The following is a 23,086-nucleotide window of genomic DNA, read 5'->3' as shown; positions in this document are numbered from 1 at the left end:
ACTATATTCTTTTGCAAAAGTATAATATACATGTTCTACCTTTTCAATGTAGGTGTTCTGGCCTTCCTATTCTTCACACAAAGACTGCCAGTGATTGCACAAGGACCAGCATCTTTAAATTACTACTGGGTACCTTTGCTGGTAAGAGCTGGTGTCTGAGTCAGTACAGGCTGCTATAATAAAAATACTATAGACTGGATGACTTAAACAACAGAAATTTATTCCTCACAGTTCTGAAGGCTGGGAAGTCCAAGATCAAGGTGTCAGCCAACTTGATTTCTGGTGAGGGTCCTCTTCCTGGTGAGCAGAGAGACACCCTCCTGTATCCTCACATGGTGGGGAGAGAGAGAGAGATTATCTCTTTCATTTATCTTATAAGGACACTAATCCGATCCTCCTGACCTAATCACCTCCCAAAGGTGCCACCTTCAAATCACATTGGGGCTTAGGGCTTCGGCAAATGAATTTAGGGGGTACACAATTCATTCTGTAGCAGCTGGGTATTGTTGATTCTGTGATTTATCAGAGATAGCACAATTTTAAAAAGGAATAGTAGAAATAGTAATGATAGCAAAAATTATTGGTCTTACTTTATGCCAACCCACATTCTACTTTAGAGACTGGGTTCCTTGGAAATAACCTGAGACAGAGGATTGCATGCGGAAGGTATGTCAGGAAGCTGTCTCCTGAGATACATTGGTAAGAAAGTGAGGAGGGCAGGATAGGTAGCAGGAGAAGCTGACCCATGCCGAAGTTACAGCTGAGGCCTCAGAATTGCAGGACATTCTGGCAAAGAGGCTGGACCTTTGTATGCTGCATCAGGCAGTTTTTGGTCATGAACTGACCCCTGCACGAGGGTATAACTTTGGGTGAGGCAATTCCCTGCAGGAAGGGCAATTGTTAGTAAGGGAAGCAACTGAGTCATTAGCAGCCTAGATTTCCAACAATTGAGGATGGATGAGGCAGTGTAGATCTGGGTGAAGCCCTGCAGTATCTATCATAATATATTAAGTCATTTAACCCACATTTCAAAAATACTGGCATTACTCACATTTGCCTCTCCCCCACTGCCAGTTTTATCTAGGAGACACAGAAAGGATAATTCACTTGTTGAGTGCCTGAGCTGTGATTCAAACCCAGGCAGTATGTGCTCTTAATGCCTAACGCTTTATTGCCTTGGGTACAAGATACTAAAACTGACATATTTTTGCTAAGTACTGGGGGTGGCAGGAAGAAAATGAGCAGGTCATCAATTATAGACTGGATAAAGAAAATGTGGTACAAATACACCATGGAATACTATACAGTCGTGAGAAAGAATGAGATCATGTCCTTTGCAGCAACATGGATGGAGCTGGAGGCTGTTATCCTAAGCAAACTGAAACAGGAAGAGAAAACCAAATGCTGCATGTTCTCACTTATAAGTTGTAGGTAAATATTGAGTACACATAGACACAAAGGGGGAAACAGCAGACACTGGGACCTACTTGAGGGTGGAGGGTAGAAGGAGGGAGAAGATCGAAAAACTACCTATTGGATACTAGGCTTGTTACTTGGGTGATGAAATAATCTGTACACAAAACCCCTATGACACATAATTTACTTATATGACAAACCTGTACACATACCCCTTAACCAAAAATAAAAGTTAAAAAAATAAAAGTTTAAAAAGAATTCAAAAGAATATTTCAGAAATAAAAACACTGGCATCAACTGATTGAAGAGACACAAAATATCATTGGCAAAATCTCTTTGCTTGATACAAAAATTTGTTCTCTCTTTCTTCTAAAGAGCTGGGCATGTGGCAAGAGTCCCTGGATCACTGTGTTGAGAAGGGTTGTTCTGTTATCTGGAACACCTCTTATAAACTGTTATCCGAGGGAGAAATAAACTTCTGTTTTATTAAGAAAAAGAAAGAAAGAAGAAAGGAAGAAAGAGAAAGAGAGAGAGAGAAAGGAAGGAAGGAAGGGAGGAAGGGAAGGAGGGAGGGAGGGAAAAGAAAAGAAAAAAAAGAAAAGAAAAGAAAAGAAAGGGGAAAGGAAGGGAAGGAAGAAAGAAAATAGTACCCCCCAAAAAAGGGAAAAAAAAGGCAGTTAATTTAATAAAACTTGTTTAAGTCTCAGTACAAAGTATGCAGAAGCATTATCATTGAACTTTTTGGTCTCTATACTGAACTCTTTTCCCATACAGAGTACTTCAAAACTTTCTCATCATGGCTTTCATTTATAGCTGCATTATTCTTCTTCTGGTCAAAGTAAATGACATGTTGGTTCTCTTCTTCATCCATTTACAGACAGTCATTTTTGGGTCTTACCTGATTGCACATGGGTTCTTCAGCGTCTATGCAATGTGTGTTGAAACAATTTTCATCTGCTTCTGTGAGTATTCAGTATGTGTGTTTTCCCCCTTCGGTGGATAACTGAAAGGTGAGATGGTGAAGGCCCATGTCCTTAGCTGGCTTGGGGATCTGCTGTTACCTGGCTGCAACCACAAAACGTGTTTATCTGGAAAGAGATATTGCTTAGTAGATGTTATTTAAACCATAATACCTGAGAAATAAGTCAGATGCAGAAAGACAAATACTTCATGATCTCACTTACATGTGGAATCTAAAAATGTCAAACTCATAGAAACAGAGTAGAGGGGTGATGACCAGAGATTGAGGGGTCAGTAAAATAGAGAGATGTTGGTCAAAGGGTACAAACTTTCAGTTATGCAGGATGAATAAATTATGGCACTCACATGTACAGCATGGTGACTATAGTTAATAATACTGTATTGTTAACTTGAAATTTGCTAAGCTCGTTAGTATTCTCACCACACACACACAAAGATAACTATGGGAGGTTATGGACATGTTCATTAGCTTGACTGTGGCAATCATTTTACTATATATGCATATATCAAAACATTACACACCTTAAATATTTACAGTTGTTATTTATTAATTATATCTCAATAAAGTTGGATAAAAAAATTATACCTCAACAAGGCTTAGAGAAAAATACAAAATTTAAAAAGAAATCTTAACAGCTAAGAGAATGGAGTTTGCAAAGCACAGAAGAGTCAACTACTGAAATGAAGCACAGGCTTCATGGCATACTGTTAGCATGAAATTATTTTGTTCATTTCTTGATTTTTTAAGTGAATAATAATGATTGGCTTCTGCCATGCTTTGTTAACAGAACTGAAGACGTAACAGGACTCTGGGAACTAGATATGTGGAATTCTTTGAGGAGAGGATTTATAAATTCTGATAAAGCCAAGATGACAAGGTGGTTTCAAGGACATATAGGGCCAATTCGCACTGTGCATCACAATGACAAATGGATAGGATTCGGAGAGGAGTGCCTCTAGGAAATAGTTGGATTAATTTTGATACATAGAGTTAAAATACTTCTTTAGAGCTTTCATCACTGACTTATACATGATGCTCCTATAGTTGCATATGCAACTCCCATACACAAAATAGGGTTTTCTTTTTTTGGCTAGGCACTGTGGCTCATACCTGTAATCTTAGTGCTTTCAGAGGCCAAGATGGGGAGAACTGCTTGAAGCCCAGCTTGAGACCAGCCTGGGCAACATAGTGAGACCCTATCTCTAGAAAATAAATAAATAAATAAATAAATAAATTAGCCAGGCACGGTAGCACACACCTGTAGTCCTAGCTACCCAGGAGGCTGAGGTGGGAGGATCACCTGGGCCCAGGAGTTCAAGGCTGCAGTGAGCTATGATAGTGCCACTGTATTCCAGCCTGAGTAACAGAGCAAGATCCTGGCTCTGAGAAAAAAAAAAAGATTTTTTTAATATTAGTACCTCACTTGAAAAGTCCTGGAGAACCTAGTACCTAGCAGAAGCTTAATCTGGCTTTCACCTTCCATGCCATTTCTTTGGCAAACCAACAGAAAGTAGAGTCAGTAAGTAAAAGAGCAGAACTTGTTAGCTGCACAACTACACATCCTGAGAGATTATTTCTCTAGCACATTGCCCTTAAGAGAAACAGAGAACATTTACTCTCTGACAGGCCATTACTGAACAATCCACTTGTATAAAATTTACAGTTTGCATTTTAGAATAACCCACAGCACCAACTTCACACTGGGATCAAGAGAGACGATAACTATAGGGAGATATATTCAAAGAAAACCTCCTGGAAAAAAGTCTGGCCTTGTTTTTTGTTTGTTTGTTTCTGAGCCTGTTAAAATCAATTCTCAATAACCGGACAAAGAATTCAAGAGAACTTTATGTACTAGTTAGCTCTTCCTCTGGTTGTAAATGGAAATGAAATGTTTAATGTTTTCCTAGTGCTTCAGTGGTCTAAGGAAAGCCATCTATCTACAAAATATCACATGAACAAACAGTTCAGGTATGGGATGGAAGAAGGAGCACGAGTAAGGTCAAGCACTAAAACATGGTGGACGCAGGGCTCTAGAATGCTCAAAGATCTCTCCTCTCATCTCCAACATTAACCATGGGAGCAATAACTGGAAATCACTATGTGACCTTCCCCATTCTTGTAGCTGAAAATACTTATGAAAATTTGTCTCAGGAAATGTCTAGAACCTACTAGCTTCCAGTCTTTGGAAGTTTTGGCTAATATGTGGATTTTAAGTTTGGCAGTTGATTTTGAATTTTGACAGTAAGAAATGTTTTCCACCATCTTTATTAATTGCCAACTCCTTGAAAGCCAGGTACATCAGCTTGATTCAGTGTATTGCATGTTGACATGAATCATTTCCTTTCAGAGACACTTGTCTGTGATAACAAAGAACAAGGAAACTTAAATTGTGTTTCTCTTCCTCCCCTAGCTGTTACTATGGGCAACATCACACTTTGTAAAATATTCTTCTTAAATGATGCCCTGAGCCAAATTCTGAATGTGTAGATTTATTTATTTATTTATTCCTATTGTCTTGGCTGCCAGAAAACTGGTGATTTTTACAATGCAAACCATTTGTAAACACTTCATTTTTAGAAACATGGAATCTTTTTATTATTACAAGGTACTGAGATTCATCATCTCAGAGTGGGAAAAAAATAATAGTTGTAGATGCTTATTAATGTGATCCAGGCCAGACTTCTTACCAGTACCTTAAGAGTAATAACAAGATAGATATGTTATATACAGCAGTAATCTCTCCTTATCCATGGGGGTTACATTCCAAGACCCCTGGACATGCCAGAATTCTCTAATAGTACCAAACCCAATTGCTGTCAATTGGAACATGTTTCCGTTTATGTCTTCCATCCACAAATGTAATGCCTTTTCCATCCTAACTAAGCACTTATCATACACTGTGGCCATAACTTTTGCAGTTTGAGATACAACAAAACTAGCTTAAAATTCTTTTTTCTTCTTCACAATTTCACGTATAAAAAATTTGTTTTGCCGGGCATGGTGGCTCACGCCTGTAATCCCAACACTTTGGGAGGCCGAGGCCGGCAGATCACTTGAGATCAGGAGTTCGAGACCAGCCTGACCAACATAGCAAAACCCTGTCTCTACAAATAATACAAAAATTAGCCAGGCATGGTGGCAGGTACCTATAATCCCAGCTACTCTGGAGGCTGAGACAGCAGAACTACTTGAAACTGAGAGGCAGAGGCTGCAGTGAGCTGAGATCACGCCACTGCACTCCAGGCTAGGTGACAGAGTGAGACTTTGCCTCAAACAAACAAACAAAAAACCGAAGATTTGTTCTTATGTAGATCTTAGCAACCTCAGTATAAGTTTATTTCTTATTAACTCGAGAACTTTCACCTTTTCACTTAAAGGAAGCATTTTACAGCTTATCCAAATTGCCAGCAACACTAATCTTGCAATTTGGGGCCATTATTAACTAAAATAAGGGTTACCTGAACACAAGCACTGTGATCTTGCAACAGATAACTGAGAAAGCTACTAAGTGACTAAGGGAAGAGCATCCTAGACAGCAAGGTGATGCTGGATAAAGGGAGGATTCCCTGCCAGGGTGGGATAGAGCTTGACGGTTTGAGGTCTCATTATGCTACTCATAATAGTACACAATTTAAAATTAATGAGTTGTTTATTTCTGGAATTTTGCATTTCATATTTCTGGACCTTGGGTAACTAAAACCACAGAAAGTGAAATTGTAGAAAGCAAAACTGGGTAAGAGGGGACTATTGTATAGAAATAGGATTAAGGACAAAAAAAAGCAAAATGTTCAGCGTCTATCATGTTCCCTCTTTTGCTTTTCATTTTGTATGTGAGGAAGGTCACTGTGAGCGCTAGTAGAAATCTACTAAACCAATGACCCAACCATTCCCAAGACTATAGCTACTATCTGCTGTGAATTGTATATATCTGCGGGAGGCTTAATTTCATGCAAATGTATCCTTGTTTGTCAGCATAATTCTGGTGCTTCCTCCCAACTAGCCAGCAGGTGGGTGGTCAGTGAACATGCCATCAATTTAATATTAGCCTAAGCAAAGCTGAAAGGTAAATTAATGTATTATGAGAGTCAGAATACATTGACATTAGCTTTCAAATACAATCTGAGGAAGACCGCAAGAATTTAGGACAGGGTGCCTTATAGTTAAGTAGAACAAGAGCAAAACTAGGTGTCAAGAAGCTGGGTCCCTATCTCATCCTATTTACCTCAGAGCTTTTGACTTCAGCGAGTTGTTTTATATCCCTGGGCCTCAGGGTGTTCGTCTGTAACATCGGAGTATGGACTACCATTAGAAGTGACTTGAAAGTCTGAAATTCCATTATTATTCTACATTTATCACAGAATTAATATACTTCCTATTCAGCTCCATCCCGGAGGATTTGGCAATTTATATCTTTCTGAAATGAACAGTTACAGAATTTAAATATGACACTTTTTTGAAGGGACATAGAATATCTTCTTAGCCTTTAAAGTATCAAAATACATCTCTCTGGGAGTGGGAGGGATTTAGGAAGTTTCAGTGTTTCCTGGCAGAGGTTGAGGTTTCTTACCTTGCCCAGAATCAGCAAGTAAACTGCACTAATTTGTCTTATATTTGACTTTCTAACACTGATTTTTCTGATTTTTCCCTGTTCGACCCTCCAATTTATAAAAATGTGTATAATTGTTCTGCTGCTTCTGCTTTTGCCTGCTTTGGCTGCTGCATATACAGGTGAAGATCTGGAAAGAAATGATGGATCTACAGAAAAACCCTACTTCGTAACCCCTAACCTGCATGGAATTCTGATCAAGAAGCAACTAGTTCCCCAGAAGCAGAAAGAGTAGAAAAGCTCCAAACAGTGTCACTCATTTTTAAGTAGAAGTTGTGTAAATTAGGTTGATTGTAATTTGGAAATGTTGCTTTTGAGTAATGTGAAATTTCTGTGCTTAATTCTAAGAAGTCAGCACCTGGTACTACCTGAGGTGTCAGGTATTTGATGACATTAGCTGCTGTCTACTTTATAGACAGTGGTCCCAGCTAAAGATCAAAATGTTAATGTCAAACGTTTTTTAAAATCTGTAGCCGAGAGTGTTTTAATAACTTTTATAACTCAGCGTGCTGTTTCCATTGCAGCACTTTAATAGCCTTTCTTTTTATAAGTGTATATTTGTAAAGGATATTCAGGCAATTTTTGAAAACACTATAAATGTGTAATTAATTAGCCATAAAATATTGATTTATAGTTAACCAGCATATGGTACTAAATTTGTAAATATGGTGCTATGGTTATATTTATACTGTTCAAGCTGGTGGACAACTCTCTAAACTGTGATTAAACTTGTATTAATGGTTCCCTAGGAAGTATATTTCAGTGAGTCATGTCCATAACAAACATAGATGTTAATGTTATATAGGTTCTACGGAGAGCATTACTGGGTAAAAAATACTATGGAACCTTCAGAGCCCATTCTGTTTTAGTGAAATCATGTTTATATTGAAGTCGAATCTGAGTTCTGGAGTGTCATTTCCAACAACATGAACCTCTGTCCATGGTGAAAATATTCTGAACAAAACTGAAATTGTTACATAACTCATGCCTTTTGTCTTTAACCCAAATTTCTTATTCCCACTATATAGAAAATCAATATGAATTTGTTTCAGAAGAGTGATTATATCTTTTCATGAGTATACCTGTATTTCTAGATTAAAGAGATTGTGTGGCTTTGTTCTACAGAAGGTTTGATTTTGTCTCACCTTTCAGTGAGGAAAGAGAAAAGAAAGACACTTCAGATTTTACCCTAAGGAAATATACTGTTGGCGCTCCATCATCTAATACCTTTATGAGGGGCATACTGTGGGTTAGGAACTCTCTCTCTGCAGGGCTTAGGAGGAAAGTTGTTGCCACCTGCCACCGCTGGCCGCCTGAGGTTTCTGATAGTCATGTGTAAGTTTTGAATGGCAGAACAAAGCATGAATCAGACACACATCTTGCCTAGCCATCCCCTGTGTGCAAATGTGTATGATGTGGTTAACCATGTAAAAATGCACCCCAAAAGGAGCATTGAATCAATTTGTATTTTCTTGGCTTTTACCTTAAACTTGTATATAAGGATTATTTATATATTGACAGAAAGGAACATGTTGATCTGAATATCACTCATATATCCAAGAAAAGAGTCAGAAATGTATTGTTGTGTTATAGATTGATCTAAATACGTATTAATTATCTTCAAGTGTAGACACCTAGATTTAAACTGACTCTGTGGCAGATTAATTAATAGCAATAAGCCAATGAATAGGGAAGATTTTTAATATATAATGACTACCAGCTTGTTCTTGGCTTACATTCTTGAGATTATTGTATTCAAAAGTGTCAGTTGGCTTCACATTTTGGCAAAGAGCCTTCTGCATTCTTATTCTCCTTGAAGCATAATGCAGATAATGACAACTTATCTTTCTAGATTAGTCTTTTATTATTCAACAAGACAAAGGCCACAACAAAGGACTAGTAGAATAGTGACCTCTACCTGAGAATTTGTTATAACTATAGATGTTTGTGCTCTGCCCAAGAGATTCTGATATACTGTGATTTGATGTGAGCCACGATGTGAATTATTATAAAGTTCTCTAGTTGATTCTGATACACATAAAAGTTGAAAAATTGGCCATGTGTGGTGTCTCACGCCTGTAATCCCAGCACTTTGGGAGTCCAAGATGGACAGATCACTGGAGCCTAGGAGTTCCAGACCAGTCTAGGCAACATGGTGAAACCCCATCTATCTTTATAAAAAATATAAAAGTTAGCCAAGTGTGGTGGTGCACACCTGTAGTCTCAGCTACTTGGGAGGCTGAAATGTGAGGGTCACTTGAGCCCAAGAGATCGAGGCTGCAGTGAGCCATGATCACACCACTGCACTCCAGCCTGGGTGACAGAGCAAAACCCTGTTTAAAAAAAAAAAGTTGAAAAAATCACTTGAATAAAATAAAAATCAACACATAAACAAGTTGCCAATTTATATTATGAGCTAACATCTAGTCAGAAAAATATTCTCCATTTACTACTTATTTGTGTAATTGAAATATGTAGAATAAAAATGAGCATTGTTTTTGAGAAGATATTTAGAAGCCATTTTCTTACAAAGCAATTAAACTAAAAACTGTGAAAAACCAGGGCAATGTTCCTCAAAATTTGCAGTTGATGTGTTTGAAATCTGAAATTTCACAATTTTTATTTTTCAAGGCTATACTATTTAAATTATTGATGGCAAAACAGAATCAATTTTAAGCAAATATAGTAATTTAGAAAGTAAATTGAAAAAAAGAAGGTGAAAGTTATTTTCTCAATCATGCAACTGAGAGACACGCAATATTGGCAGAATCTGACCTGTTACACAGAATGAAATAATATCTTGCTGACATAATCACAAGGGCTTATTGTTTTCGCATAACTATGTTTACAATAATGTTGATGCCAAACTATGCTGTTTAAAAAACAACAACAAAAAAAAAACAACAAAAGGATTTTGAACTGCTGTAAAGCGAGTATACAGCAGATGGCGGTGTTACTTCTCTTACAGTTCTGCTTTGATATTTACTCTGTACCATTCTTCCTCCTAGTGGAAGATTTAGAAAGAAATGATGGTTCTACTGCAAGACCTTATTATGTGAGTCAACCTTTGCTGAAGATTTTCCAGGAGGAAAATCCACAAACTAGGAAGCAGTAGAAGAGCAAACTGGTCGTCCTACAGCTGTGTGTTACCTTTTCTCCATCTGCTGTGTCTGTGCAACATTTGTTTCATAAGTGCTTTGTGTTTAGCAACACTGTATTCACGACCTTGTTGGCTTGCATTTGCATGTTTTATACCAAAGCTTATACTGTACTATGTGAAGCCATCAGAAGTCGCAAGGGAATTGTTAATAACATAAAACATTTTTATACTAAGATCATTTGTTTTGTAATTCGTTTTTAAAGAGTGGCTTGGATGTTTTGAAAATACTACTGAATATGTTAATATTCTTTTAAATCTTAGATTGAAAAATGATACATTACTTAAATTGATAGCTCCTAATATATTTTTAAAATTACAACTAAAAGAAGACTTCTTCTGCAGGGAAAATTGGTCAGCAAAGTGAAATTAAAAATTTTAAAGTTTTTCCCACTCTCGTTGGACAGTAAATCAGTGAAAGGACTGCCCCAGTTGAGAGTTTGCTCTCTTTAAGTATAGAATGTTTCCTCTTAAACAAATTGCCAATCATCCAGCCTTTACTACTTAGCCCTCTGACAAAGTGCCTTACTGGCTATTTAATATTACCCAGCTTTTATGGGCAAGTTTACAAACATTGTTTTTTAAAAAATTAAAACCTGCAATGTTTCGTGATTAAAACAAGTCTTATTGCATTTGTTTCACTCTTAGCTCACTGATTGGAAAACATTTGTCATTTTGCTCTGTTTGATATCCTCACTATTATGGAATACATTGTGCAGCTAAACAATTTCCCTTGCGCCTAGTGGACATTCATGAATGTGTACTACACGCAAGAAGAAACAAACCCCGAAAGAACACTTGTTGGATTTCTTTGTTTTTTTTTTTACTAAAAGAGAAGTTTTAAAATGAAATGTTTTCTATAGTAGATCTTTGAAAATACAATAGGTATAATACTGCATTTCTCAGTGTTTTACAAAGATCAGAAAGAGAAACTTCTAGGAATTGCAAAGGGAAACTTTACTCCTCGAAAGGGTGCTCACAGATGTCATGTACTGAATAGCTCCCTTTTAAATGATCATTTATTTTCATCAAAGCCTGTTCTATATATGCCACTTCATTTTCTAACTTTTGGTATGAAAAAATCAGTTTACTTACAGTATGTTAATTGTATTGTACTACTATAAACAGGAACATAATTTCCAATTCAGTTTTAAATAATTTTACCAGTACTACTAACTTTTAAGGAAATTAATTCAGTTGGTTACTCAGTGTTTGTTACAGAAAGAGTCCAGAAAAGTATTCACCCTAAGAGAATGTCAATCATATAATGATAATTTGTGAAAGCTTTGAGAATCAATCATCAGTAAGTTACTATCAGTTTATAAAATATTATCACATTTGTTTAAATGTGACTTTAGATACTTTTATGCCAAAAATAAACTCACATGAGCACATGACAGTCTGAGCTCTATAATCAGTGTGCTTCTGCTGTGCAGAAATGTTAGAAACGTATTGTCTAAATATCTTTGATAATTAAAATGTTTAATATTTAATGAAATTTGTTGTTACTTGTTTTAAATCTTTTTTCTTTTAATAAAGATTTAAATAAGAAATAACTGCCTGTCTTTTGGTTTCTTTAATCTAGAAAAAGAGAAAAGCTTTTGTTTTCAAAACCCACTATACTATGACAGTATCTTCTCTATACCAAATATCTAGGTGGGTTTTTTATTTTAAACTAGATTTATATTTTTAAAATTTTCCACTTTTCTCCAGCTGTGCATTGACAAATCAAATAAGTGAAACCGATAATTTATACAAAGGAAATAAGTCAAAGCTAAATGGATGAGATACTTTAAAAAAAAAATCAAACAGCCTAAATTAGTCAGTTTTTCTTTGTTTTTATTTGCCAAAGGTTTGCTCAGTCCTTCATTTCATTTTGTCAAAATTTATAGGAGAAAAACGTTATTATTTTCAAGGCGGGTGTAAATTTAGAGGCCCTAAAGAATATGAACACCAATTAACAGTTTCCTAAAGCAAGATTAAACATACCTATCACTGATTTATCTTAAGCTAAATTTTAAAACAAATATATTGATGTCTTTTCTTAGGTTGAATTATATATTAAATCTTCAAAATTAATTATTCTTTAAAATTTAATGGGTTTATTTTCTTTCTTTCTTTTTTTTTTCTTTTTTGAGATAGAGTCTTGCTCTGTCTCCCAGACTGGATTGCAGTGGCACCATCTCCTCTCACTGCAACCTCCGCCTCCCGGGTTCAAGCAATTCTCCTGCCTCAGCCTCTCATGTATCTGGGACTACAGGCACCCACCACCATGCTGAGCTAATTTTTGTATTTAGTAGAGATGAGGTTTTACCATATTAGCAAGGCTGGTCTTGAACTCCTGACCTCAGGTGATCCGCCCGACTTGGCCTCCCAAAGTGCTGGGATTACAGGCGTGAGCCACTGCGCCCAGCCCTAGAATTTAATGGGTTTCTTTCAATGAAAACATTAAACAATGATCTTGCAGTTTTCAGTGTTCTTTTAAAATAAGAACACAATAAGATAATAAAACAATAAGACATGGTATTAATATAGCTAATGATTCTTTTTTATTTGAAATAAAATATAATGTAGTTTCCACAAGAAAGTCAAATTCTGCTTTACGTCTTAATAACTCCTACTTTTCAATGATGAAGCACTTATGTTGGTAAATAAATGATATACCATTGTGCAATGATTAATTTGTTTTTTCTATGTCCCTAAAGAGCTTAAAAAGAGTTAGTGTGTCTGTATAGTAAAATCACACTATGAAAGGTTCTATGGGATTGTCAGGGACAATGTAGTTCTTATTTAAACTGCTATTGGAAAACAGGCTCTGTGTAACAATTTCTCACTTTTCTTTTAGTATACAGCTGACTAGCACTCATTCCAATGTATGTTCTTTCACTTTTACAAGTGGTGCCTCAGGAAATTGTTCTTAAACTATAACCAGGCATAGTAATTATCTCCCTTATTATCTGGTTCTGGATTGGGGAACATGCTTTATAAATCAGTTTTTGTTGGCAAAAGATATGGGGACAAATTTGAACTAAAATCATTATTGCAGACCATAGTGTATGAAATGACATCTTAACGTTTTTTCCAGTTTCTTGCAAATGTTAACCTTAGATGTGTGTAAATGATTATTTTATAATAAAATATAGATATATGATTATAAGAATACAATTCAACAAATCATTAATGAAAAAATCAATATAGCAGATCCACATTCCATTGATATTAACAACTTTGTGTCATAATCTAATTCTCATTATCTAGGTCTAATAAATAAAGTAAGTAAAAAAACAAATATATATATAGAGAGAGAGAGACAGAGAGCGCAGATAAAACATTACTTCTTCGAAGTTACTTCCCATATTAGGGCTAAAATGGGCATTAAAGACATTTCTCTCAGGACCTAGCTGAGTTACTTCCGGTTATTAGTGAATCAATCATCATCAAGAAAACAAAGACAACCCCCATTAAAACAAATGTGAGGCTGGGCACGGTGGCTCACGCCTGTAATTCCAACACTTTGGGAGACCGAGGTGGGAAGATCATGAGGTCAGGAGATCGAGACCATCCTAACTAACATGGTGAACCCCGTCTCTACTAAAAATACAAAAAATTAGCCAGGCGTGTTGGCACGAGCCTGTAGTCCCAACTTCTTGGGAGGCTGAAGCAGGAGAATTGCTTGAACCCGGGAGGTGGAGGTTGCAGTGAGCTGAGATCATGCCACTACACTCCAGCCTGGGTGACAGAGCGAGACTCTGTCAAAAAAAAAAAAGTGCATTCCTTCATGGACATAGAGTATCATTTATTCAAAGCTTAGACAACAGAATGATGTTACCATCATGGACCCTATTAAATGTATCAGGTCAAACTGAACTGCCCTTTCCCCCATTTACAACTTCGCAATTGCTTGGAATGAAAGGCAGCCAAAATGTGTAGAATCTGGCGACATCTTTTGTCATGGTTTCTGCACTGGGGGAATGGGGGCTGTTATGTGACAAATTTAAAAGCAAGCAATTCAGTTTTACTATTTGAAGTCACTAGCTTTATTTTCTTTAAATTTAACTCCTTGGCTTTTTTTTTTCTTTTGTATTTACTGTATGAATCACAATAATTTAAGCAAGTGGGGAAATTGTGAATGCAAGTAAAACACCCTTCTACCACTGGCTCAAAAACATGATACTTCTTCATCTTCTGTCCCTTTGCAATTAAAGAGCACAGTATGTTAACAAGGGTGGGAAAAGTTTATCAAAAGAGAAAGATGTTTTCATTGTACTTACAAATTAACGTGGAGCCTGAACTTGATCCATTGTTAGAATAACCTTGGAATCTCCACATTCTTCCAGGCAGATGAATGTGCACGGCTGCATGTGTGTCTGCACAGAAAGGATAAAATGAAGGTAGGATGTTGTGAAAAGCATTGGTCTCCAAGGAGAGGCTGGAGAACCTAAAGCACAAAAATCTCTAGTGGGATCCAAGAGGGCAATGTTACAGGAAGTGGGGTGCCTTCTGAACGCAATTCATAAATCTATTGAAAAAGAAACTCAATAGCAAATCATAAGCTAATAATTAAGCAAATAAAATTATTTTTCTATCCTCTGATAAACAGCGTTGAAGCCAACTGTGTTACAATGAAACTAATCACATGCTTATTTGCATTTAGCCTAAACAAACAAAAAAGAATGATGTCCCAATATGATTTATGACTAAGGTATTCAAAAACATCTGCCTCTTTTTCACAGTGCTTTTACATGTTAGCCAAAGCTTTGCTGTCATGATGAGCTTGTGTTTTTCTCTTTCCTCTCAACACCAAGATGGATTCTTTTTCAGATCTTCCCTGTCATTTCCTTTCCTCCAACTCAATCTCTTTTCTCATTTTCCCTGGCTTACAAAAGTCTGAATTTCTAATAAGGTATTTGGGAGGAAATGGAGGTGGAAGAGGAAAAAAATTATGAAAATGAAGACTTGAACCAGCAGGTTGTTTTGTGCTATGGACTGGCAGATCAATAGTATGAGTTCTGAACCATGCTAGGGCATAAGGAAAGGCAAATGACAGAGCCCAGTGATATAGCATGGAGGCTGTTAATACAGGCTTGAGAAACAGGCCAAGGGGAGCTTTCCAACGTCACCCTGTCACTCTGCGACCACAGGCAAGGTGTTAAACTGCTCAAAGGCTTCCTCAACTGACAACTGAAGCAAGCCCCCTCCTCACAGTGCTGCTGAAAAGATAACATGAGAGTGAGCATCATATCCATTATTGAGGACTGGTACCTAGAGTTGGGCAATGCCTGTTAGTCATTAACAGTGATATTCTCTTGACTGAGGACTTTCAGCACCTGGACTTTACCACTCCCTTCCTACCCTAGTGGACAGTTTATTTGGGCCTCTCTGAGAAGCTAGTGAAGGGCATCACAGTACTGGAAGACTCTTCCCACTACCATCCCTGCACCCAGGCCAGAGTAAATGAGAAGATATAGGTGACTTTCCCTCCTTCTCTGGAGCTTCAGTCCAAATCCCATATGAGACTTTTTTAACATAGCTTGAATTCTTGGGTCACTGATGACAGACTCTTTCGGAGTACCCAAGAGGAACTTCACTGAGATTTCAGCTCACCTGTCTCATGCTTCCTCACCATTACCTTTCTCTTAAATCCTGATATTAAGCCAGATTTGTGAAGTTGGCAAATTGAATGTCATTTCTAGAGTCCCTTAATCTTTACTTGTTCTCTAATTCTGGAAACTGAATAACAGTTAAATTTAATGTTTCATAACTGGATGATCATAGGCTTCAAAATTAAGGCCATAGATCTTCATTTGATTAATCTGATAGAGGTTTTTCTCTGCAGCCCCTGTTCCATGAGTTTGTGTAGGTCAGTGGAAAGACTTTTTTCATTCTGCTTCTCTACATTGGGTTGTAGACAGGAAACCCCTGAAAACTGCAGGCTTCAAATCTGTCTAGAGGACTATTTCCAGCCTTATAGGTGAGGCTCCTGTTTTTCTGAGACAGAACAAGATGGCTTACCAGTCTTAAATAAAATCGGCAAAGAAAAAACCATGTTTAAAAGCAATATTCCTTTTCTTTTAGTGAGTCCTAAATTAGCTTTTGGTGACCGCAATAGAGAGAAAAAAGAAGTGGCTAGAAGTCATTTTATATCATGTTATTTAAACAACTATAGATAGGCAAATCATTTTGCCATCTATAACATGTAACTTGAACTATCACTGTGATTTAGGGAGGTGAGGTCAAGAGAAATCAAATTTAAATTTTTGATTTTAATCAAATCGAATCAAATCAAAAGAGCAAAGTAGAGATTTTTGGAACTATACAACTATGTTTTTTAATATAGTTTCTTGGAGCATCAGGATATATTTAGAATGCTAATTTTAGCACTTTAAGTGATAGAGAGAAGTAGATAATATCTGAACAACAAGTATATTTCCCAGTTCATATAAAAAAGTAAATGTTAAGTTAATGGAGCAAAAAATTTCCGATATGAAACATGCCAAATCTTAACAAAAAATGTTTCTGTGTTTTCCTAATTAATACTTTAAAATTAAATTATTTCATAAATTGTTAAATTTACCCTTTTTATAAAATTGTTTAATTTTTCCTGCTATTAGAAACTTTAAAAAATAATTTTGGTTTGCTGCTCACACAATTTTTTGTTCTGCGTTGTTGTTTTTTCATATGTTAGTCTTGGGCATATAAATTGCTCTTGAACTGGTTTTATCAAGTGTGAGCCATTATGAAATAGTCACTCTCCAAGAGTCCTTAATGGAACTTAAAAGCACATGTAGGCAGGACCCTTGATGTGCTTTGATTGCCTTAGAGGACTATGCCTGCAGCGTGTGCCTGTACATGTGCAAGACATGCAAGTATATGTGTTAGGAGGGTAATTTGATGTGTGTGAGCAGCATACAGCAGAGCACATGAGTAACTCTCGTCTATTGCTGCTATCAAGAAATACAAAAAACAATCTCTTTCCGTCTCTTAATATGAAGCTTAGGCAGATACAGATACCAAAATTATCTTAATATTGAGAACAGAAATAGGAGCTGATCTAGAATGTTTTCTATTATGCTTTCTTATATATCCCTAAACCACTGAGCCAAGCATTAGGTTTATAATACAGTGTTTTGGGAGGAAAGAACTCTAATAATGCAATCCTCAAAGGGAAGATTCACGACTATGGCAGGGCAAGCTATCTGGCTGTCATTTGTTCCCCAGCCAGCTTTTAGCTGGATTCACATTAAAGAGTGCCATGTGTATTGCTTTCAAGCTCCAGGGAATTGAAATTCCTGCCAGTACCACCCAGTTGGCCCCCAAAGAAGCAGCTGCTTGATGCTTGATTCAGACTATACTTAATATCCATGCAGCACAGCTCCATGAACTTTTCTCACCTGGAATTGATCACTTGATTATCAGTCACCTCTGAAGTGTCCCAGACAGCAAAGACCGCAGAATATTGACAATAGTGCTCACAGGAACCAGACACAAATGCATGCTAACAGATGCCACCACCAGATCTTCCCTCAGATTTGAGGGAAAAAAAAATCCAACTCGATCGTTATTAAAATCCTTCTGAATGGAAGGCAGTGTGGAAGATTTAAAAGTATATTGTCACTGTCCATTGCTTTCTCTTCAGAGCAGTCATTACAACTGCTGTTATTTATAGCTTCCGCCAGACTATAAGTCCCATGAAGGCACAGACTCTATCTGCCTTGCTCTCTATCATACAACAGGTGCTTATTAAATGCTTCTTTAATAAGTAAATGAGGTGAGAGAATACTTCATGGGGAATATAGGATTTGAGTTGTCTTCAGAAGAATATTGAAAGTAGGTATAGGGAATTGAAGAAAGAAAGATATTAAAGGCATCAGGAAGAAAATGAGACTTCCAAAATGATGGAGGGAGAGAGAAAGGGAGGGAAAGAGGGAGAGAGGGGAGAGAGAGATGAGTCTCATGTTTTGACCCTTGAGTTTGTGCACCATTGGGATGGGCACAGCATGCAATTGTTGATGAGTGACCGAAGCTGGGGAGATAGATTAGGTCTCAAAGTATAGAATAACAAGTGTTTGAAGCAGGAGGACAATGGGAGCCCCAGGAATGAATACCATACTAGAGAGAGGTTGTGAGCCAAGAGGCATGAGGGCTGGGAAGCTTCTTGGTGTGGAGTACACAATGACTGAGAAATAAGACTCAGAGGTGGGAATAGAAAAAAAGTCAGTAACCCATAAGGTAGAATAAAGATATCCTCATCCATTCACCTAAGGATAAGGACTGTTTCCTTTTCTCCCTCTTATACCACCAAATAGCAAGACCCCTTGCTGTTGGCCACCAGGTGAAGTCTTTCCTTGAGGAAGGGCGCATGGGCATGTTGTATAATCTATACACTTGCTACCTACTCTCGGGAAAGTTACTTCACCTTTCAGAGACTCAGATTTCTCATCTATAAAACTGGGACAACACCTGCCTCTGGGAATTTGGGTAATGTGAAAATTTAACATGGTAAGACATCTAAAGTACCAAAAACACAGTACCTGACACATTGCAGAGGAGAGACAGATAGATATGGAAAGAAGTAGAGAGATACAAATTATATAGATAGAGATATGTAGTTTTCTTTCTCCCACTTAGCCTCTTAGGCTTAGACTCTAAAGACTTATGTTTGAGGCCTTGCTCTTCCACTAAGCAAATGATCATGGATCTCTGTTTCCTCACCGAGCAAAACATGAGAGAATGAACCCGGCAATCTCTCAACAACCTTCAAGTTGTAAGATTCCCTAATTCTCAGATTATAAAGAGGAATGTTTGGGAATCACATATTTAGGCTTTCTAACAATGTAATTTCTCAGGAGAAATTTCTTAGGAGAGGCAGATAAACTAATCTTTATCTAACCTCATCAACAAGCATTAAGGATGCCATGTCAACACTTCCTGATCCTAGTGGCTAAGGATCTTCCTCCTTACACAGGCAATGAATGTGTCCAAGATGCTTATTTCTTAAGAGAGTAACTCATGAGTAAATGGGAAGCTTAAGTTCATGAGAGAAACTTCCTGTTTTCCTTTGAGACACTGGAAAATTAAGCACATCAGCCTCAAACAGAGACATTAGAGTGAATAATGAAAGCACAGGTGGTGGCTATAAATGCTGGAAAGGGAGGCTATCAAATGCAGGGAATTACAGTGAAAGCACATTTCTAGATAAATCCTCACGGTGTTTGCCTAATAAGTGTGTTATCTCCAGAGCCATAAGCTTTCAGAACATAACAATTATGTTGCAGACAAGGCTCATGGCTCCTCTGGTCCAGGACCCTGCCTCAAGCAGGAGCCCAGGAGACTGCAGTGGACACCCTCAGTGGCCCCCTCACTATCTCCCTAACCAGATGGCAGGGACCTCCAGGATGCCAGCCTTATTATTTGGGTCCTGCCACTGCCCTCATCATGGGGTCTTACACAGGTGGAACTTAGTAAATATAGGCTAAATGAATAAAAAAGTAGGAGGTATGCCCCAAAAGTTGGAGTTACCCTCAATAATGGCTAATAGTTTCATGCTGTGTGAAGCTGTCTAAACTGTTTTTTATTTGTTTCATATTTTCAGCCTATATGAATTTGAATGATTAGTGAAGGAGTGCTTCTGTTCAATTGTTCTAAACAGTTCTTCCTGCTTTGAAGCAACCCCTTAAGCAGCCCTTGGTCTGATGGGAGAGGGGTCAGATGTATAAATATAAAATTTAAAGCAGAATGTGAATCATCAGAAAGTCAGCAAAGCACCATGAGTATTTAAAGGAAAGGATGAATTTCAGGGAAATAGACATGGTTTGTGGACTAAGTGGTATTTGTGTCAGGTCTTCAGGAGTTATAAAATTTTGAGTAACACAAATAAAAGGGGGAAGATGGCACTTCAAGCAAAGAATTGAGCCCAACAAGGCATGAAGGCAGAAAGCGAAAAATACATCCTCAAAGTAGCTAGTTAGATAAATGTAGGCTAGGGATTCTGGAAGTTAAGGCAAAACACAGGTTGGAGTTATATTGTGAAGAGATTTTATTTACTACGAATTATGCAAGCCATATTTTAGCAGGAAAGAAAAGAAGCATAGTTTAGAATACAAACCCGAAAATTAGATTAAAACGGAAACCTTCTGGATTCTGGGGCTCTCATTAGAAGTAAATGTGCCTTGCTGTTCAACGTGTGATAGGGGACCAGCAGTTTTACATTATCTGGGAGCATATTAGAAATGTGGAACCTCTGGCTGTCCCAGACCTACAGAATCAGAATCTACATTTGAATAGGATCCACAGGTGATTCTGCTGCACATTAAGATGTAAGAAGCAAGGTCAAAAGAGAACTGGGAAGAGCCTGAACCTAAGTGGCTGCTCAAAGATGGCAGAGAGGAGACAGGAGAGAAATGTGGAAAGGCAATGTGCTGGGATCATCTAAGGCAGCTGACACTTTAAGCTAGGGACCAAAAGTACAGTGGGGTTATTCTTGGGAATCTCAGGAGGGAAACAGGTTGGGCTCATGGGATGATAGAAAGGTGATAATTTGACTTCACATAGAGAGATGAAGGAGCCTGCAGGGAGTATCCAGATATAGATGTCCAAAAGGCAGCTGGAAAAGCATATTAGCTCATAAATAAAGTCCTCTTGCACTGTATCTCTGCAACAGACATTCAAATGAAAAATGTAATAAATCACCTAGCTGGGCATGGTGGCTCATGCCTGTAATCCCAGCATTTTGGAAGGTCAAGGCAGGCAGATCACCTGAGGTCAGGAGTTCAAGGCCAGCCTGGCCAACATGGCAAAACCCCCGTCTCTACTAAAAATACAAAAATTAGCCTGGTGTGATGGTGCACATCTGTAATCCCAGCTACTCAGGAGGCTAAATCAGGAGAATCACTTGAGCCCAGGAGACGGAGGCTGCAGTGAGCCGAGATCACACCACTGCACTCCAGCCTGGGCAACACAGCGAGACTCTGTCTCAAAAACAAACAAACAAACAAAAGCATAGCGCCTGGACACAATGTATGAAAAAAGTAAAAAATAAAAAAAATTACTTAAAATGTTATGAAAGAACAACAAAATATCACAACTAAAAGGAAGCATAGATGTCATCCAGTCTGATCCCTTTCTGTGATGGGAGGAATCAAGGGTCCAGGAAGGGGCACTGATTTTGACAGGTGCCTCAGTAGAGAAATAACAACATTAAGTCACCTGACTGCAAACTCAGGGTTTATTGAACTTCACTGTTATTCTGATAAAATAGGCCTTGGGAATTAGGACTACTGGAATTGGGTTCAAGGAGATATGGCTAGAAATCCAGAAAGAATCAATGGTAGTCTTAGCAAATGGTTCTGTAGGAAAACTTGAGGAAGTTTATAACAAGCCTCTGCATGGTTTACAGACCTTGGTCAGGTTTCAGGGCTATTTCAGAATATACTTGGTATCGGCATACCAAAACCAACTCTAATGTGAAATGCTTATTATATGACAACTATATTAATTAACATTTACATACCACTTAGTATCTGCCACTCACTGTTCCAGATGTCTTAACTGTATTTAATCACTTAAAACAACTATATGAAATAGGTAGTGATATTCTCCATTTTATAGATGGAGAAATTAAGGCACAAATAAATAACCAAATGTCACAGGGCTCATCAGTGGTGGAGATAGGATTCAAATATGTAACATTTTTTTTTCTTCTTAGAAGACTGGCTATACATATTTTTTCTCCTTTTCATGTAAAACTATAAAACTTTCTGCAAGAATCAATTCTAACTGTGCACAGACTGTTGAGCTAACAGACATACTTGGCTTTGGGCAGTTTATGGTTATGCTTTGGTCTATATCCTCTTTGGCTAATCCTTGTGCAATTTTGATCTAACACTGGCTTCTGGCCAATGATGGCAATCCACTTTCATATCCTTTTTAATATTCTTTAGTCCCATTATCTTTAGGTCATTTCTAATGACCATCTTCTTAGTAAACTTTGCCTCTAACATGTTTTAGTAACAGGAGACAGGAAAAGACACACAGCTTCTGCTGTTTTGAAGAATAAAGACCTCTTAACTGTGTTTTCCCTTTTTTGGCTTTGGAGCTGAGATTTCTGTTCAGTGGGGTTTAGTTTCCTTAGACCAGGATCAAGGACACTGGCTGCGGTTGGCTCCCTCCCTCCATCCTGAGGAAGAGCTTCCAGCATGCCACCTGTGCCTCCTTTGTAGCATTGCATGGTAAAACATGCTCCAACCGTGTTTCCCTTGGAAGGCGCTGGCACTGCTCCTCTGAAATAAATCCTCTCAGCTGGAGAGAGTGGGGGCTGCGGGTGGGGTGCAGAGGCAAGGCCTTATTATGGGGACCTTCATTAATGGCATTGTGGGTTGCCTTGATTTTCCACACGTCTGACCAAGTCAATTTCCTGTCTTGGATCCCTTTCCTTCTTGTCAAATTCCAAGTTTTTTGCTCTTCATTCTTGGCCTGGCTGTGTGGGTGATCGATTTTAATTTTTCTGCTTAAAATGTACCAAGTGTTTGCCTTTTGGAAAGGAGTCCAGAGGAGTGTCAGGGGAAGGGCTCAAAGTTTAATGTTTTCCAAATGATAAAACCAAAATTCTCTTCTCTTCCTCTCCTCTCTCTCATATCTTTTCATTTCTTCTAAATTTTTGAAAATTTTATATTTTAGGTTGACATACAATAAAATCAAGCTTTTAAGTGTATATTCTATGAATTTTAACAAACAGAGTCATGTAACTATCACCATAATCTTTTCTTTTTTTAAACTCAAACTCTTTGAACAAAATATTAAGTAAATATGCTAATATCTTACATTACACAGAATTACTATTAGCACAAGATGTGGTTATTATCTTCCCCAAAGAGGATTATTTTATTTATGAAGACATTTTTAAACATTGTAACATTTTGTTTATCTC

The 23,086-nt window shown here is 37.6% G+C and overlaps 2 protein-coding genes across 15 annotated transcripts in view; one reads left to right on the top strand and one right to left on the bottom strand.

Moving 5' to 3' along the window:
* SLC44A5 (solute carrier family 44 member 5) overlaps nucleotides 1-11,717 on the top strand; it is a 521,887-nt gene extending 510,170 nt beyond the window's left edge. For 7 of the 13 annotated variants that reach the window (XM_017000610.2, XM_017000609.2, NM_001320283.3 and 4 more), the window contains 3 exons: nucleotides 53-141; nucleotides 2,294-2,378; nucleotides 7,127-8,128. In XM_017000610.2, coding sequence (XP_016856099.1) covers nucleotides 53-141; nucleotides 2,294-2,378; nucleotides 7,127-7,239 — 287 coding nt within the window. In that variant the 3' untranslated portion in view covers nucleotides 7,240-8,128. Of the gene's footprint in view, nucleotides 1-52; nucleotides 1,913-2,293; nucleotides 2,379-7,126; nucleotides 8,129-10,012 lie in introns of those variants that run through there. The other 6 variants (XM_047449166.1, XM_017000608.2, NM_001130058.2 and 3 more) reach the window with 2 other exon arrangements.
* Nucleotides 11,718-14,391: 2,674 nt separating this feature from the next.
* The window catches only part of LHX8 (LIM homeobox 8), a 71,021-nt gene continuing 62,326 nt past the window's right edge, over nucleotides 14,392-23,086 (bottom strand). For both annotated transcript variants that reach the window (XM_017001316.2, XM_017001317.2), the window contains one exon: nucleotides 14,392-14,528. In XM_017001316.2, the coding sequence (XP_016856805.1) occupies nucleotides 14,401-14,528 (128 nt within the window). In that variant the 3' untranslated portion in view covers nucleotides 14,392-14,400. The remainder of the gene's footprint in view (nucleotides 14,529-23,086) is intronic.

The sequence above is a fragment of the Homo sapiens genome, chromosome 1 (assembly GCF_000001405.40).
Source record: "Homo sapiens chromosome 1, GRCh38.p14 Primary Assembly".
NCBI lineage: Eukaryota > Metazoa > Chordata > Mammalia > Primates > Hominidae > Homo > Homo sapiens.
This window is presented reverse-complemented; position numbering and strand designations above follow the sequence as displayed.